Source organism: Homo sapiens, chromosome 15 (genome assembly GCF_000001405.40).
Source record: "Homo sapiens chromosome 15, GRCh38.p14 Primary Assembly".
NCBI classification, from domain to species: domain Eukaryota; kingdom Metazoa; phylum Chordata; class Mammalia; order Primates; family Hominidae; genus Homo; species Homo sapiens.
Genome location: NC_000015.10, coordinates 60,759,913 through 60,775,688, shown reverse-complemented (window position 1 = coordinate 60,775,688; position 15,776 = coordinate 60,759,913). Strand labels below are relative to the sequence as shown.

The 15,776-nt window shown below is 41.5% G+C and overlaps 1 protein-coding gene and 1 long non-coding RNA gene across 3 annotated transcripts in view; one reads left to right on the top strand and one right to left on the bottom strand.

Annotated features, from left to right (window-relative positions):
- The window catches only part of RORA (RAR related orphan receptor A), a 741,019-nt gene that overhangs the window by 453,614 nt on the left and 271,629 nt on the right, over window positions 1-15,776 (top strand). The window lies entirely within an intron of this gene.
- RORA-AS4 (RORA antisense RNA 4) lies at window positions 10,372-12,072 on the bottom strand. The gene is made up of 3 exons (XR_007064662.1): window positions 11,608-12,072; window positions 10,589-10,947; window positions 10,372-10,508 (listed from the first exon to the last, which is right to left on the bottom strand). It is a non-coding gene; the product is annotated as an RORA antisense RNA 4 (long non-coding RNA).

The following is a 15,776-nucleotide window of genomic DNA, read 5'->3' as shown; positions in this document are numbered from 1 at the left end:
AATATGTTGGCTCAGATCTGTTCCAAGGTAGGCATAAATGAATTGTGCGTGTGTGTGCTCGTGCCTTGAGTAGGGGGTAATCAGGGAGGGGAAAAGAGCAAAGAGGGAAAGAAGGAAAAGAGATCTTAAAGCTTAGACCAGAAATATCCAAGAAGGATTTTTATCAGAACTAAATTTCAGTACTCCTGGCGGAGTGCCTAGCAAGATATTAGTTTTTATAAAGAGAAAAAGGAACGTGTTAATTGTAGTGTCTCCATAGGAAGAAAACTGCAGATCTGTTCAAGAGAACCCCCACGCAAATTTGAAAACAGCTTACATATAGGAAAATCAGGGGTTTTTTTCCTTCTAGCAACATTAACATAGTCAAACAACTGAAGAGAGAATTCTATTAACGAAGTCAGTCCCATCAAGTTAAAGCCTAGTAATACCACCATCAGGGCTCGGTGGGGAATCTAATCTTTTGCAGCTTGGACCAGAATAACATGGAAAACCCATCCATTTAGAGTCACGTTACTACTAGTGCTGAAGGCAAATTCAGGAAGCCCGACACAAGTTTACGGAACTTAAGAGAGAAGGGTTGAAAGAAGAAAGAAGGTAAAAGATATTCTGGCAGCCACATGAATCATAGGTAAGAAATCTTAGACGTGTGGGGTGTCTCAGGCCTCACTTGTTTCAGGACAACACACTTTCTTCAACGAATGTTACAGTAACATACTCAAAATATCAGTCACAAAGGAAGTTGAGGAAATGTGTTGAGTAATCATGAATTGATACTATAATTACCCTAAATTTTCAAGTTTCCAGTTAAAGCCAATGGTTGTTTTGTAATAGAATCTAAGGAACATGGTTATGCTGTGGGTTCAACAAAAGAGAAAGCTTTCGTCCTCAATTCTTAGGCTCTGCTTTAGGATGAAATTACCATGGAAGTGGCAGACTACAGCCTTTAGAAAGAGACCAGCAAATGACTTCTGTCCATTCAGAAATACCAGTGGCCAATGTGGTGTATCTCATGAGTTTAGTGTAAAGGAAGATAAAGACTGTGGGTATTTGTGTTACCTAGATATGGGTGCATCCGTTAGGACTCCCAAATACCACTAAGACTGGTAGCCGCCCAGGGCAGTAAGCAGGGTAGGGAAACCAGAGACGGGCTTTCTCTTTTCTTGGCATACACTCTACTAGCAGAAGCGGGAATACCCACAGCCATGTGAGGAAGAGTCCTTAGGAAGGGATGTCTGGTGGAGGATCTGTGAAGGAGATTGGGCCTCTGTGATCCTTCTGAAGTCTCTGTTGATGGCCTCTCAGGATGAAGCCATTTCCATTGTTGGCTCTTGGATTAGGACAGATTCTGAGATGGAGACATCACAGAATGGCGCCACAGATTTGACGATGAATATCATGACTGGCCTTGACATTGAAAAGTACTACGCAGACTCACCTGACCCAGATGCTCTGACAAAAGCCAACCCATTCAGAGCGATAACATGATCAGGTTCCCTGAGGTAGAAAGCAGGGAACTGCCCTTTTAGGAATCCCCAGAAGCCGTGGCTGTGGGTGTCCGCCAGGTCCTCCAGTCTGAGTCAGGCCAAAGGCACGTACTGTTGTCAAAGGGTCTCACAGCTGTGCCACGTTAGTGATCTCTACACTGCTGCTGAATGCTCCTGACTTATGCCTCCCCAGACAGCCAAACAGAATTGCATGAACAATTAGCATCTTAAAGCTGGGAGAAAAGAAGTATTTCAGTGAAACAGGTATAGCTATCCTCAAGTCTTTCTTATGTATTACATAAATGTGAAGCACACCTTTTCAAAAACAGAGTTCTTGGCCTCTGCCCTTGGGAAATTTCCATATCTAGGTAGGGTAGTGTCAAGTCTGCTTGGCCCGGTAGCTCTGGATGTTTCCAGAGTCGATACTGACCTGACCTTTCTTGAGTCTTTATGTGCGTATCAATTCAGTGGCTAGAAGTTGCCCCTGAGTTCTTGAGTTTGTCTGGACTCTTCTGCCACTGTGTGACCTTCACTAAGTTATTTCTCTTTTCTAGGTCTCATCACTTTACCTCTAACATGGAGAGTTCTCTTGCTTTCAATTCTCTCTTTTGTAGCCAGACTTAATAGTTATCGGGGTATCACTTAGTGAAGTAGATTTTGGAGTAAATCAATATTAGTAAAAGTATTGGTAAAATCAGGATTGGTAAAAAGTACCAATGTAAATTTTTGAAGTTCATAACTCAGCTGTGATTGCGTAAGAAATTATTCCCATTCTCGGGAAACACACACTGAAGTATGTAGAGCTAAAGGACCATGTATATACTATATCCTCAAACGGTTCAGAAAACAAATATGTACATCCATGTAGAGCAAGAGAAAGAGAGAAAAAAAAGGTTTTCAGTAAATCACTATGAATGATAAAGCCAGCACCGAGTATATAAAGATCATTCTTCAAGTCAAAGTTCACTGTAGATTTTTAAAGCCAAGAGCCCGCCGGAAAGCCTGTGACTCCCTGTGTTCCAGTTTTCATAGACTTGTCAAGATGGATCAAGGCTTCATCCTCACAACCTTCAGGTGCAAATGAGCTGTCAAGGGAGGTTTTCAGAAAGCAATAAAGAGCCCCTTCCTTAGAGGCCAAGAGAGTCTGGGTCTCCCATTTTAGTCAAAGAAAGCTAAATGGAACTTGCAACTCAAACTATGTAATGATTCACCCCATGGTAATAAAGCAGCCCTGGAAAACTCCCTGGCGGGATTAATCTTAATCGGCAATTAAGATAAAGTCTGGGCACATGCTAATCCAGGGCTTAATCGGAGACATTTTAATGTGCTGCCATGGTGTGGATATAAGACTAGGATTCCACTAATTGAGCCTGGAATGTGGGTGTGAGGAGGAGGAATCGCAGTGCAGGGGTTGCCTGTAGATCCAGCAGTGAAATGAGGTTTTGCAGGAGTGTTGGGCAGTCTGGGCTAGGACGGCCCCCTACGTGTGGCTCACCTTGCCATTCATGAACGCTCCATCTTTTCTGTAGAGCAACAGGAGCAAAAAGGCAAAGCAAGTTCCTAACAAGATATACAGTAGACGTCTTGCTTTACTTATCACGTTTTGAAAGCCCTGGTGCATGAGATGATGACTCACACAAGGTAGGTGTGGGTACCCATACGAGGAAAAGCAAAATAGTTTTTTAAAGAGAAACATTTAAAACAGCTTTTAAAGAAAGTTAAAGCTGACATTATTACTCTGTGGTATTTTTCCCTAGAAATTTATTTTTTGCATATTTCTAAAATCCAGGCAATCACGAGGTAGTTTTTAAATATAAATTTCCAGTGACCAAGACTTAGTACCCTAGGTTAGCAAGAGAATCCTGCCACCTGCTTGCCAGCTACTTTTGTCTCCAATTGTGTCATTTTAAAAATCCCACCTTGAACTGAACAATGAGAACACTTGGACACAAAGCGGGGAACATCACACACCGCGGCCTGTCAGGGGGGTGGGGGCCTGGGGGAGGGATAGCGTTAGGAGAAATATCTAATGTAAATGACGAGTTGATGGGTACAGCAAACCAACATGGCACATGTATACCTATGTGTCAAACCTGCACGTTATGCACTTGTATCCTAGAACTTAAAGTATAATATAAATAAATAAAAATAAAAATAAATAATAAAATAAAAATCCCACCTTGTCAGCCATGATTTGAAAATTTGTTGCTGGCATGTACCCTGAAATTCTCATGAGCAACTCAAGGATCCAGTTTAAACAGAATATACTTAGAGAAGTTTATTCCATGTTCTTGGCCTCATCACTAAATGCACTGCAGCACCGTGCTACCTATGTTTTTCCAAGATCTCGTGTATCCTCATGATCCTGAGAGGTAGGGGAGGAACCAGGCCCTTCTCCCAGATGAGACAACTGATCTACAGAGAGAACAAGTGGCTTGCCCACATAAGACTGTGTTTTGTATTACTTATTATTCACTTGTCCATGGGAAATGAACCTGGCTATCAAGTTTTTAATGAGGTATATGATGAAGTTCATGTATGGGGTTCGTGCTAACATTCTGGAGAACAGGTTGAGCCTTCCCTCAATGCAGGGAAAGAAGTGTGAGAAACATGAAGCTGCAAAAGAGAGCAGCTCGGTGACAATCAATAGTGGCCTTTTCTATCACTAGGTATCCCTTGAGCACCAACTATATGAAAGGCCTAGTGCTGGACACTGCAAAGTGCACAAAGAAACATAAGGCAAGGTCACTGCTACCCAAGAGCTTGTGTCCTCTTGGAAAGAATACAGTATAGAGATGAAATGATAGCTAAGCTCCCAGGCAAGTGTGTGAGATGTACCAATGAATGGGCCACACAGAACGAGCTCACTGGTCTAAAAAGACCAAGAGATTACTTTTGGCTGAGTGTTCAGGGAAGGCTTCCCTGAGGAGGCAGTCTTGAATAATCCAGGGCGAGAGAAGGAAAGGAGGCATTCCAGATGGGAAAGTAACTCAAACTCAGTGGAATGGAGGGTAGGGGGAGTTGGATATAGCAGAAAATAAGGCAGAAAGAAAAGAGAGTCAGTCTATGGGGGACCCAGAAGTCCTACCTTAAGAGTTAAAGCTTGTTCCCTTATGCGCTATGGATAGGGTTGCCAGATTTAGCAAATAAAAATACAACATGCCCAGAGAGGTTTGAGTTTCAGATAAACAAAGAATAATTTTTGATATAATTATGTCCCAAATATTGCATGTGACATACTTATACAAAAATATTATTTGGTGCTTATCTGAAATTCAAATGTACCTGGGTATCTAGCATTTTACCTGACAACCTTAACTGTGGAGTTCTTGAAGATTTTGGAGTAGAGGAGTCCCATGAAATTAAATCTCTTCCAAAAAGGAGCCTGAGAATCATACATCAAGAGCCGTGAAAACTAGCCAGGCATGGTGAAGCATTCACGTAGTCTCAGCTACTCAGGAGGCTGAGGCAGGAGGATCTCTTGTGCCCAGGAGTTTGAGGCTGCAGTGCACTATGATTGGGCCTGTGAGTAGCCACTGAGCTCCAGCCTGGGCAACAAAATGAGACTGGGTCTCTAAAAAACAAACAAACGTAAAGGAGCACGAAACCTCACTCATCCTACACTTTCCTTTATGGGAAAGCTCATTGGAAATTTTATGCCCCATCTAAGGGGTTCCCTGTAGCTGAAACTCATGAATTACCTGGTTATGAGATATAAGCTTAATATGAACCATGAATTCAATAATGTCACAAATGAGGCAGTTGTCCCTGGGAAGGCTGGTTAATGTAGAGCTGAACTGGGCTTTGAAAACATAATTTCTTACAAACCCCTGACTTCTAGGCTTTCCACACCTGCCTGTATGTGCTGGTCAGTTAAGAAACACAAAAGGAGATCAGACATAATAGGCACAACATTAAAAACATAATAGGAAAATTACATTGGACTTCTATAATTTTCATTAAAATCTCTTTTCTCCAAGAAAAAAAAAGGAATATCTTTTTTGAACATTTGTAGTTTTTAGAATTTAAATGGGCAGCATTCAGAAACAAAAAGCCCTTTAACGAAGGTGTAAATTGTGCCTTTTTAAAATGACTTTTCTTCCCTACCCTAGTACCCACAGTAATGAACACTCCTACCCAATCAAAATATGAAAACAAAATTGGAGCTGTGTCAGCATCTTGGCTGCAAATAAAACTCAAAACAGGTTATAGCACATGCTAGGAATACAAAATAAGGTTAGAAATAATGCTTCAGCTGTGAGTTCTTCAGGCAGTGGAAATAATAGAGCATAATTTAGTAGAAGAGGAACTAGGCAGTCAGCATACACAGGGAAAATGAAAGAAGCAAGAAAAATGCAAGGGGTAGGAAACAGGGTTGGAAGAAATTGGAGGGGGACAATGGGTGGCTAATTATTAGAGGAAAAGAAAGGCCCAGCCTGGTCAGAGAACATTCAGGAGCATAGAGGGTGGTCTGCTTGAAGAAACTGCTGGTAATAGTGAGTTTTCCGAGGTGATTCCAAATGGATATCAGACATCAGAGAGGCACACTCGTGGCATGAGAGTTTATAACATCAATATCTAACTGCCAATGAGACCAGAAAGAAGGAATCCACTGAGACCTAAGCAGGCTTCTGCTACCTGGTGACTAGAACATTCAAGGATGGTTTATTTTATTAGTCTAAGATTATCCCCTAAACCCTAACCAAATTTGCAGAGCAGCTCTGTAGTTATCTTGGCTTACAGGTGCATATGTCAGCTCACAGTGCTCAACCAAATGGGTTTTTTTTGTTGTTCTTTTTGCAACTTCATCGAGATATTACTAGTCCAGATTCCCCCTACCATGTAAGAGCACCTAACCCTGGTGAATAAAGACGAGACAAAAAGAGTTAACAGGTTTTCTGCTTCATATTATATTTGCAAGAGGCTTATCGAGACAGTTATCTCAAATAGCAGTTTGCACATTTACTTTCATTCTAACTCAATTAAAGATTATTTTTCTTAAATATTTATCATGGAAGTTCATTTGCCTTTGCTTTACTTCCTGGGACTAACAGCTAAGAACCTGTTATTAAGGGAAAGGGGTGGCCCTTCTTTACTCTCTGTTCACACCAGGTAAAATCGTTCTAAAATGTGGTCGCTAGCGTACACCAATCTTGAATAGGGCATTAGTTGCCTGATTAGGATGTTGACCGAAGTTTCACAAGCTGTGTTCACTGTGCACGTTTTAAAAATAACCACACATGCAGTACACATTCAGTGAAGATTTGTTAGGGAGGAGAAATGAAATAATGCCGATTGAAACTCCCCTAAATGTACTACAGCCTCTACTCTGCATCCTTTCTTGAAATAATCATTGTGTGGAGAAGACACATCATTGCCAAAGTCAGCTCCTCCCTCCCACCTGGTCAGTCCTTTCTCATTGTCTGCATGTGATGAGTTCATTAGAAATAACAAAAATCCATTTTATCAGGCCAGCCTTCACCTCTGTCTGTCAGTGCACCTGCTCTTAATTTTACCACTTATGATTCAGTTGTGAGATGGATTTTAAGCTTTGGCCTCTGGTTTGGTTTATTCCATGCTTGTACTGCTCCATATTGATTTTTGTTAAATGAGGCCTTTAGTGCTTAGCTGTAGAGGCAATTATTTAACGCTTTCAAAAATAGTATGGGAGTGGAAAATAAAAACTGAAAGTTCAGTTGAGGTCCAGCCAGTGATTTGGAGGCATATTGGTTTCCCATAACCCACATGAGAAAGAGACATTCAGCCAGCCTACGGCTCACACCTGGACAAACCTGCCCATCCTTTCAGGTACGTTCACAAGCTCTTGGTGGAATTGTTTCTTTCTTGATTAACTTTACAGCCCCATCACGATCCCACAGTGCACATATGCCATTTCCTCATTACCTGTTCCATGCCCAGCAAGTTTCTGATGTGTTTCAAATTTGAAGTTGCTTGATGGATGTATCTGGGTATTGGAAGTAGTGAGTGCATTGCCATCTGGCAAAAGAGGAGGCAGCGGCAAAGTCTTGTTAAGCAAAAAGTTTGGAGGATAAGCGAGGGTGTCATGATGGGGGATGAGAAAACAAATGAAAACACAGATAGAATTTACTGTTGACCCTTCCAATTCAATTTCACTTCCCCCAAGGAGCCCTTGATAAGTGTGTGATTCAGCCAGGAAAACTCCACCCATAGGCCACCCTGCATGGAGTAGTACTTCCTGCATATCAGGCATCTGTGCTGGGCATGGTGGTGTAGAGTGATGAACGAGATGTGGCCCTGCCCTTAAGGAACTGACAGTCCAGTGAAAAGCCACCAGTGTACGGACCTTTTACCACGAGACACCTGAGTAGAAATGGAGGCTCTAGGAGCCCCAGTGTTAGACAAACTGACCCAGGGGTCATGAAAATCTTCATAAAGGAACTAACAATTATTCTTGGTTTTGCAAAGCAAGAAGGGAGTTTGCAGGTACAAAAGAGAAGGTGAGGACAGGGAATAGAATACACAAACACAAGAAGTGATCAAATGACCAAGAATACCTCGGGTACAGTGAGAAGTGTGGTGTGGTTAGACTAGAGCAGAGTTGAGTTTCAGTGGGAGAAGACAATGTGAGATCTGGCAGCCCATATTGCACCCTTCCTGGGGACTTTCTTGCCTTTCTAATTGAAAAGAAGGATGCTTCAAAGCTAATAGCTCTAGTTCCACACCCAACTCCTCTATCGTCAGCTGTGTGAAATAGGGCAAGGTACTTAAAAACAGCCTCAACTTTTCATGTGTGAAGTGGATATTATAATGGCAGATTTGTAGATGTGTTTAGAAGATCAAATGAGATGACATATTTAGAGTACCTGCTGGTATCCCCCAAATTTTCCAGTTAGTATTTGCCTTTGTGTGTGTCCTTATCATGGACCACAGACTCAAAAGGCCAATGTCCCAGCAGGTAACATCAAGATATCAAGAAAGCCAAGGCTGAGGTCCTTAATGGTAACTGTTCCACCACCTCAGTCTAGAAAAAAATATATATCCCAACTAAAACAGGACCCATGCAGGCAGGAAGCCCTATTTAATCACACCTTCCAATTTTCCAAGAGAAGCTTGAAGCACAGATTTCTAAGTGAAATTTCCCATCTTTTCTGTGTTAGTTACTAATCTGAATTTAAAACACAGTGTAGGCAAAACAGTACATGTCTTTGGGCCATACACAACCTGTGGGCTGCCAGTTGACAGCCTTTGATCTCTATCTTCTCTCCCACTACATTACAGGCTCTTACAGGGCTAGTGCTGTGGTTGTTAATGATTCGTATCAGGGCTGGCTCATGGCAGATGCTTCATGGTTGGAGGGCACTGACTTTAGCCACATACAGACATCGACACCAGGGGCGAGGAAAAGCAAGCCAACAAGTGAGGTGTTCAAAAGTGCAGAATTCAAAGAGTGACCCAATGCCATAGCACAAGCCCAGGAATGAAAACTTTTAAAACTCGGCCCCAGCAAGAAGCTCCTGGGAGAGGAGCAGATCCTTGGGAAAAAAAAAAAAAGTGCAGTCTGTGAAGGGCAAAGTTTGGCAATCTATTAAACAGCAAGTTACAATAGGCGAGTGCAGAGATCACAGAGGCAGGGATTAATGTACACACATCTATACAGGGAACTTTGATGCTTTCAAATGCCTCCTCGCCATCTGAAAATCAGGCAGCAGGCATCGCCTACATATTTCACAGCAGTCTACCTGTCTGGGTGTTTGGGCTTGACAGCAGGAAGCTCTTTGAAATGAGGCTGAGGCATTTCAAACACTTCTGCTTGAATATCCAGTTTGTATATTCTGTCGAAGGCTTTTTAAATTGGCTTTATTTTACTTTATTATATTTTTTTTTACTAATTTTGGAATCTCTTATTAAGTCGAAAGTCTGCAAAAGAGCAAATTACAAAGCCAGGATGCCTTTTGACGATCTCAAGTGAATGATACAGACACAGGCTCGCAGGCTCACAGGCTCACACACAATTCCATATAACAAGGAAGGAGAGAAGTTACATTCACAGAGCAGAACTATTTTCAACAACAGTCCAGTGAAAAGTGCCAAATGTTTGAACCTTTTGACTCCTGCCCAGATAATATCATAATGGTTCAGAGAGGGATGTTTACAGCTTTCTATGCGTAATAAATAATTTAGAAGCCATTCATTAAAACCTTCTAAATTACAGACACTGCAGGCGAATTCCTTCTTTTAAGAAGGAAAGGATGAGCTGAAAATTGGTCCCCGGTTTCTTGCCTTCTTCTCTTTGATTCTTTTTGTTTATTCTTCTCACTAGAAGCTGAGTGAGTAAAGTACCGATATTGGGGGGTTAGGTGGGGGAGCGGGTTACACCACTGTAAATACTTAGAACCACAGTGCACGTAAAAATGAAGCTGGGCTGCCTTGGCCTGGTGAAATCATGCGATGGAAATCTGAAGATCTTACATTTTATTCTGAGGTCCACAGAGGTCTTGTTTATGCTTCTCTTCTCATTTTAAGAAGGAGGTGCCAATGTACTGGCAGTGAGGAGGAAAGTGGAAGGATTTGCATGAAGCAGCTTCTGTGACTCAGGTTTTCAAAGCTGTCTCATGGAAGGCAAAAAATACTATCCTTATCCGAATCGTGATACAGGTGTGGTAACTTGGCTATCTCTTCTAACACCACATTGCAAGGCCTTGATTGTGGGGTGTGGGAATCTTACACAAGACCCGACCAAGCCAGAGAGGATTAGCTTTAATTTCATTCAAAAGCTGTAAGTAGGAGAAAAGACTGTCAGTATCCTAAGGCAATACTTAGGAACAAGTAGAATTAGGTAGGATTGTTTTGGGAGTGACAGAAAGACCATGATTCTGAGTTGATCTCAAGAACTCCCAGGCCAGGCTCAGTGGGCACACATTGAATTTATTTTCATTCGGTTTGGTGGGGGATCCTGGGAGCAAGCTACTTTGACTCATAGATGTAAACAGTAAGAAACCAAACTGTTGATTTGAGCCAAAGTCCTTCTCGTTCAAAAATAGCCTGTATCAGGGAAAGAGAGAAGGGGGAATTAGAAATGGGCCCTGGGATCGAGGATATTCCCAATATAAAGACACCCTTACTTCTACTGTAGGCATTTCAGATTCCCACTACTTTGTCATCCATGTTGAAACTGGGCACCAACTTCCCGATTCAATAGCAATGAAGGCAACACATGATGCTGTCCTTTGTGGTAGCTCGCTTCCTTTTGTGGAGGCATACCACCGAGAGGACAGGCTTCTGGTTCCAGGCACAGAAGCCATCTCCAGCTAAATGATGAACCCATTTTTAAAGACGTCGTTTTTATGGTTTCTTAAATGACAAGGCATTTCAAGTACAATGTGGTAAAGGGGCACGATCATAAAGCAATGTGGTTGGCAAGGAAGGTATTTCATTGTGAGCAGGGGCGTCGAAGCCGAGCTTTATCAATGAGTGGAATTTCCTGTAAGTAGAAAGATAAATGAATTAGTAACTCAGAGTAATTTTTTAAAAATACATATCCAGATGAAAGCTCAGATAAGTTTGATCCCTTTTAGCCAATGAAGTATCATCTCTAATTAGGTTTCCATGCAGACAGTGCAGCCTTGGAGTACATTTCTGAATCTAGTTGACCTTTTCAGCTGGAGAAGCCAAATGATTTCCATTCCATGCTCTTTAATTCTGGAGGAATTTCTAATTTGTTGCCAGAGATAAAAAAAAAACTCACTCCAAACATGAAAAAAGTTTTAAATAGTCCAGAGCCCCATTTACAGAATATTAAAATTTTCGAGCTGAGAGAACCCTAAAAGACCATTTTATTCCATTCCTTTATTTTACTGATAGTAAAATTGAGGACCAGAGAAAAATCAAAGACTCGCCCAAGGTCACTCAGGGACTTAGGACCTAGGATTAGAACCCATACCCCCCGCTTCCCACCCCAGCCTCTCTGCTTGGCCAGTCTCTCATTTGCCTGCTAGGCTTTTTTTCATGTGGTCCAGATGTTGCCGCATCAAAGGCCTCTCACTGAACTCCGCCATCAGACCTGCTTTAGGGAAACTTCCATGGGCCAACACCTACCCTCTTGCCTTTCTTAATTTCTTTTGGAAATTCTCTATTCTCTCACCTTATTAATGTTAAAACAAAACGGGTTCTTTTATTGCCACAGGCAGCAGGAAAGTGAAGTTCTTGATGGAGGCAAGTGTCTTCCCTAGTGAGAGCAAGTAAATTAGTTCTGAGGTCCTCTCACTCACTCTAACTGTAATGAGAGACACCAGCCCTTCTTCATTAATGAGATGCCAATCACAAAGGGAGCAGCCTCAGAGAGCCTTTGGGGAGGGGGGCGGCGGGGGAGAGCAGTGATTGGCACTGTACTAAGAAGGGAGGAAGCAGAAAATAAAAGCCTCCGGAGGTGGGAAAACACGTGGATGATCTCAAATCAGAAGGGTAGGTCCAGCGGAAACCCGAGGGGCTCCTGAATGGGCCAGTCAGCGTAGTCTATGGCAAACATCTTTGGGCAGGAGAATTGGGGAGCTACCCCCCTGGCATATTTTCCCACGTATGCTTTCCGAGGCAAGGTTGTGTTCATGCTAAAGTGTGTCCCACATGGGGATCCGTATGATTGGTGACAGTTGGGGCTCCTTAATGACTGGGTTCTCTTGGAAGGCTGGCAGCAGCGAACCTCCTCGCTCCTCTGCCTTAGATCTCGTCAAGAGTTTAACATGCTGTGTAACCTCCTAAACTTTGAAAAGGAAACTTTCTAAAAGAAAGTTAAGGAAAAATAATTTGATGCTTAAGGGAACTTTTTTTCTTGCATGAGATAATTTCCCTGGTAGGAGACACTGTTCTTAAATTTGTCCAAGGACCGGTTAACCCAAGACCATGTTTCCAGGGCGGGGGAAACATCTAAATCATATTTGTTCAACTCCTGCTCTCAAAGTGGCTTGGGAATAGGTTCTGCCCCTGGCAAGATGATGCTTGCTGTCTTTTCCTCTCGGCTACCCAGAATGGCATTTGCAGCATCGCTGAGAACGTTTTGGGAAAATATCTGTGCAGTTTTCCCAACTCAGTTTTCACCATCTGCAGCCTGCCTTTGCTTTGGTAGGTTGGTTAAAAAAAAAAAAAAAAAAAAAAAAAAAAAAATCTGTGCATATTGGAAACAGTACTTTTATTTGTAATTAAATGCCTTTTTCCCTGTTATTTTTTCCCTGAAAACATTTTTGTTTATGAATATGGGTCTATATGAAGGTTAAAAGACTTTCAGCACTCAAAACAACTTAATAAAATGTCTGAGCACACAATTAGGCGTGCTATGTCCTTCAAGAATCAGGTAGCGGAAGTTCTAATTGGCAAAGCAGCATCTTGAATGTCATTTTCTAAACCCATTAGACCATGTCTAACAGAGAAAGAGGAGAAGCAGCAGCAGTTTACGAAATACCAATAGTCCCCCTTGCAGACATAATTTTAGGGTAGCGGTTAGATGATATTGAACTTGTAAGAAAATGTAGCTACAAAGCCACAGTAGCTTCAAGTAAAATGACATTTCTTTAGATCATGTGTAGGCTCACCTTGTAATAGTAGGAGTAAATATGTGTATAAGCAACCTGGAGATGCTCCTTTATTCCCTGTGTGTGTGGTGTGTGTGTGCGTGGGTGTGTGTGTGTGTACTGTGTGTGTTTCATGCACTTCTTTAAAGGCACACAGTTGGCTGTAATATGTCCTCCTTTCTCTGAATTCTGGTGACCTTTCACCATAGATGGGGCAAGGCCCAGGCCTCTGGTTTGATAGAAATACAGCACATCTGTCTTCAGTTATTCACATCTGATACCATAACCTTCGTGTCTGGCTGCTTTGGGTCTACCACCATTAAAATTTAAATTAAGAACCAGAAGTTTTTAATAAATTCAAGCCAGAGTTGAGCCTCCCAGAGATGTTATCTTGCCTGGAATCCCCTCGTTTTAGTTTAATAGTACTTTTGGAAAATCTGACAAGACTCACCTAGAAATTCCATTCTTTGTTGAAGACCAAAAAGGAAGAATCACCATGGAAAATAAAGATTCATAAAGCCAGCTGCATTTTATTCTAGATGCTTCTTTTTCTGCTAGAAACCTGTTTTTCAAAAACTTGGTTGACAAAGTCTCATTTGTATATTTTTCCCCTTATGTTTTAGACACCTGGGTTTTTAAAGATAAAATTCTTGCAGATGTTTTGGATTAGTCTGTTTTCAAAAGTGCTCAAGAACTTGATTTCCAAGGACTAGACTTTTTTTTTTTCATTACCAACTACTGTAGTTTGCAAAGAGGGAGAAACTTAGCTTGCAATTGGCCTGAATTCAATAGAATCACACACCCTCCTGGTTTTAAGGAACATTTGAAACTGAACCGTGCATAAGTGTGCCACCTGACTGAGCTTTCTAAACAAATATTTGTCATCTTTGTCAGACCAAAATTCTCATATAGTGTTTTGAATTTAATTAGAGGCATACCTAAATGGTTAGGGGAGAAGGACAGGACAGAAGTCTACCCCCAGAAATGGCTCATAGGAAAATGAGACAACTTCAGTTTTACTTACTCAGGCACACCATAGGAGAGGTACTTCTCCAAGCTGGTAAGTGAGCCATTTTTGCAAAAATAGAAGCAACATTCTGGGCAAGAGCTTGAAAGTAGAAAAGGCCTGGGATAAAACATAATTTTTTAAAAAAACATATCATAAAAGAGAGTTGCCCAGCTCTTTCTTAACTTGTGAACTAGCTGTTCTACACATTTACCATAAGATAATTGATGTTTGTAATGCTGCCCCTAAGGCACTACAGGATCCTAAAGTGCCTTCTGAATCATCAAAGAATGATTCATTGCGTTCTGGGTGGTTTTCTTGTTGAGTGTATTTTATTGTATACGAATCCCTTTGAAAATTGATAATACATCTGTGATGGGTACCAGAGGTTTGCAATCAAGAGCACACAGCCACAACTGGTGAGTGGGAAGTGTCTTTGGTGTACAGGCTGGGTGGCACCCCCACGTCCTCCATCCTGCTGCTTCGAAGAGGCAATGTCGCCCATGGAATCTGCAGAAGTTGGTCTCTGTGAAGGTTTCATTCAACTCCTCCCTCTCCTCCCTTTCCTGCTCATCTTGCTAGTAGGAGCCCACGTGTGAACAGCAATTTCATATTCCCACCCCTCCCTGTGCCCAAAAGGAGAAGGGCCAGAAACTTAGGGTGGCACTAATTAGGCAGCGTCATACAAAAACTCTGATATTTGACCACTTTTTATCTACAAAAGCAACAATCTCATATGACCAGTCACAGTGGTTACAAATATCAGGCACCTGTATGTGTGTCTGTGTGTGTGTGTGTGTGTGTCTGTCTGCATGTATAGACATGCATCGTCATTCAATTACCCAGAAGACTTGATTAACAAGAATACCAAAGCTCCACTGGATCACACGACTTGCTGCCCCCTGATTTGTTAAACAAATAACTTTTTCCTTCTTTGCTGTTCCTTAGCTGATAACCAGGAATGGAACCCTAGCATTTTCACAGCACTGCTATGCATTAGGTGAAAATGGCCTTCCTATTTCTTGGTATGCTCTGTTTATATTTTAATGCTGTTTACAGATGAAATATTCCATAAATATTCATACGGTGCCTGTACAAAGGAAAGGATCCAAAGAGCTCTTTATTAACAAGCTCCCTTATGTCAGGGTAACTATGGGAGAAAGGGCTTTAATCCATCCTCCCAAAGTTCTCACAAAAAGACTGAACTATCCTCTTTACACATAATATTGGGGTGATCTGGGATTTACCAGCTAAATTCATAGCTAAAAGTGTCAGCTAATGAATTATTCCAAGTAAATTAACAGACTAAGGGAATCCTTTCTTCGGTCCCATACCAATGCTCCCTTCGTTAGCAAATACGCTTCATGTGGAAGAGAGATCAACTAGGTGCCAGAGAATGTTTAGCCCACATTCATCCTCTGCACAGTTCCTCCACCCCAACGATCAATTGACATTTCTTAGAAGAGCATTTTATTCTTCCAAAGGAAGGCTCAGAAACATTGAAAAAAAAAAATATTTTAAAGCTCAGAGAGCTTCTAATGAAGTAAATTAAAACCTTTTAAAAAAACACACATACAAATTGAACTTTTTATAAAATATTCAGGGGCTTCAAATTTAAAACTATTAAAAAAAGCCCACATATACTTCAAGGTTATGCTTTTAAAAAATTTAAAATACTGAGTTGAATGACTGACAAGTTCAAAATACTCTCAGACTAATCTTTGTACCAAAGAAATTAAATCT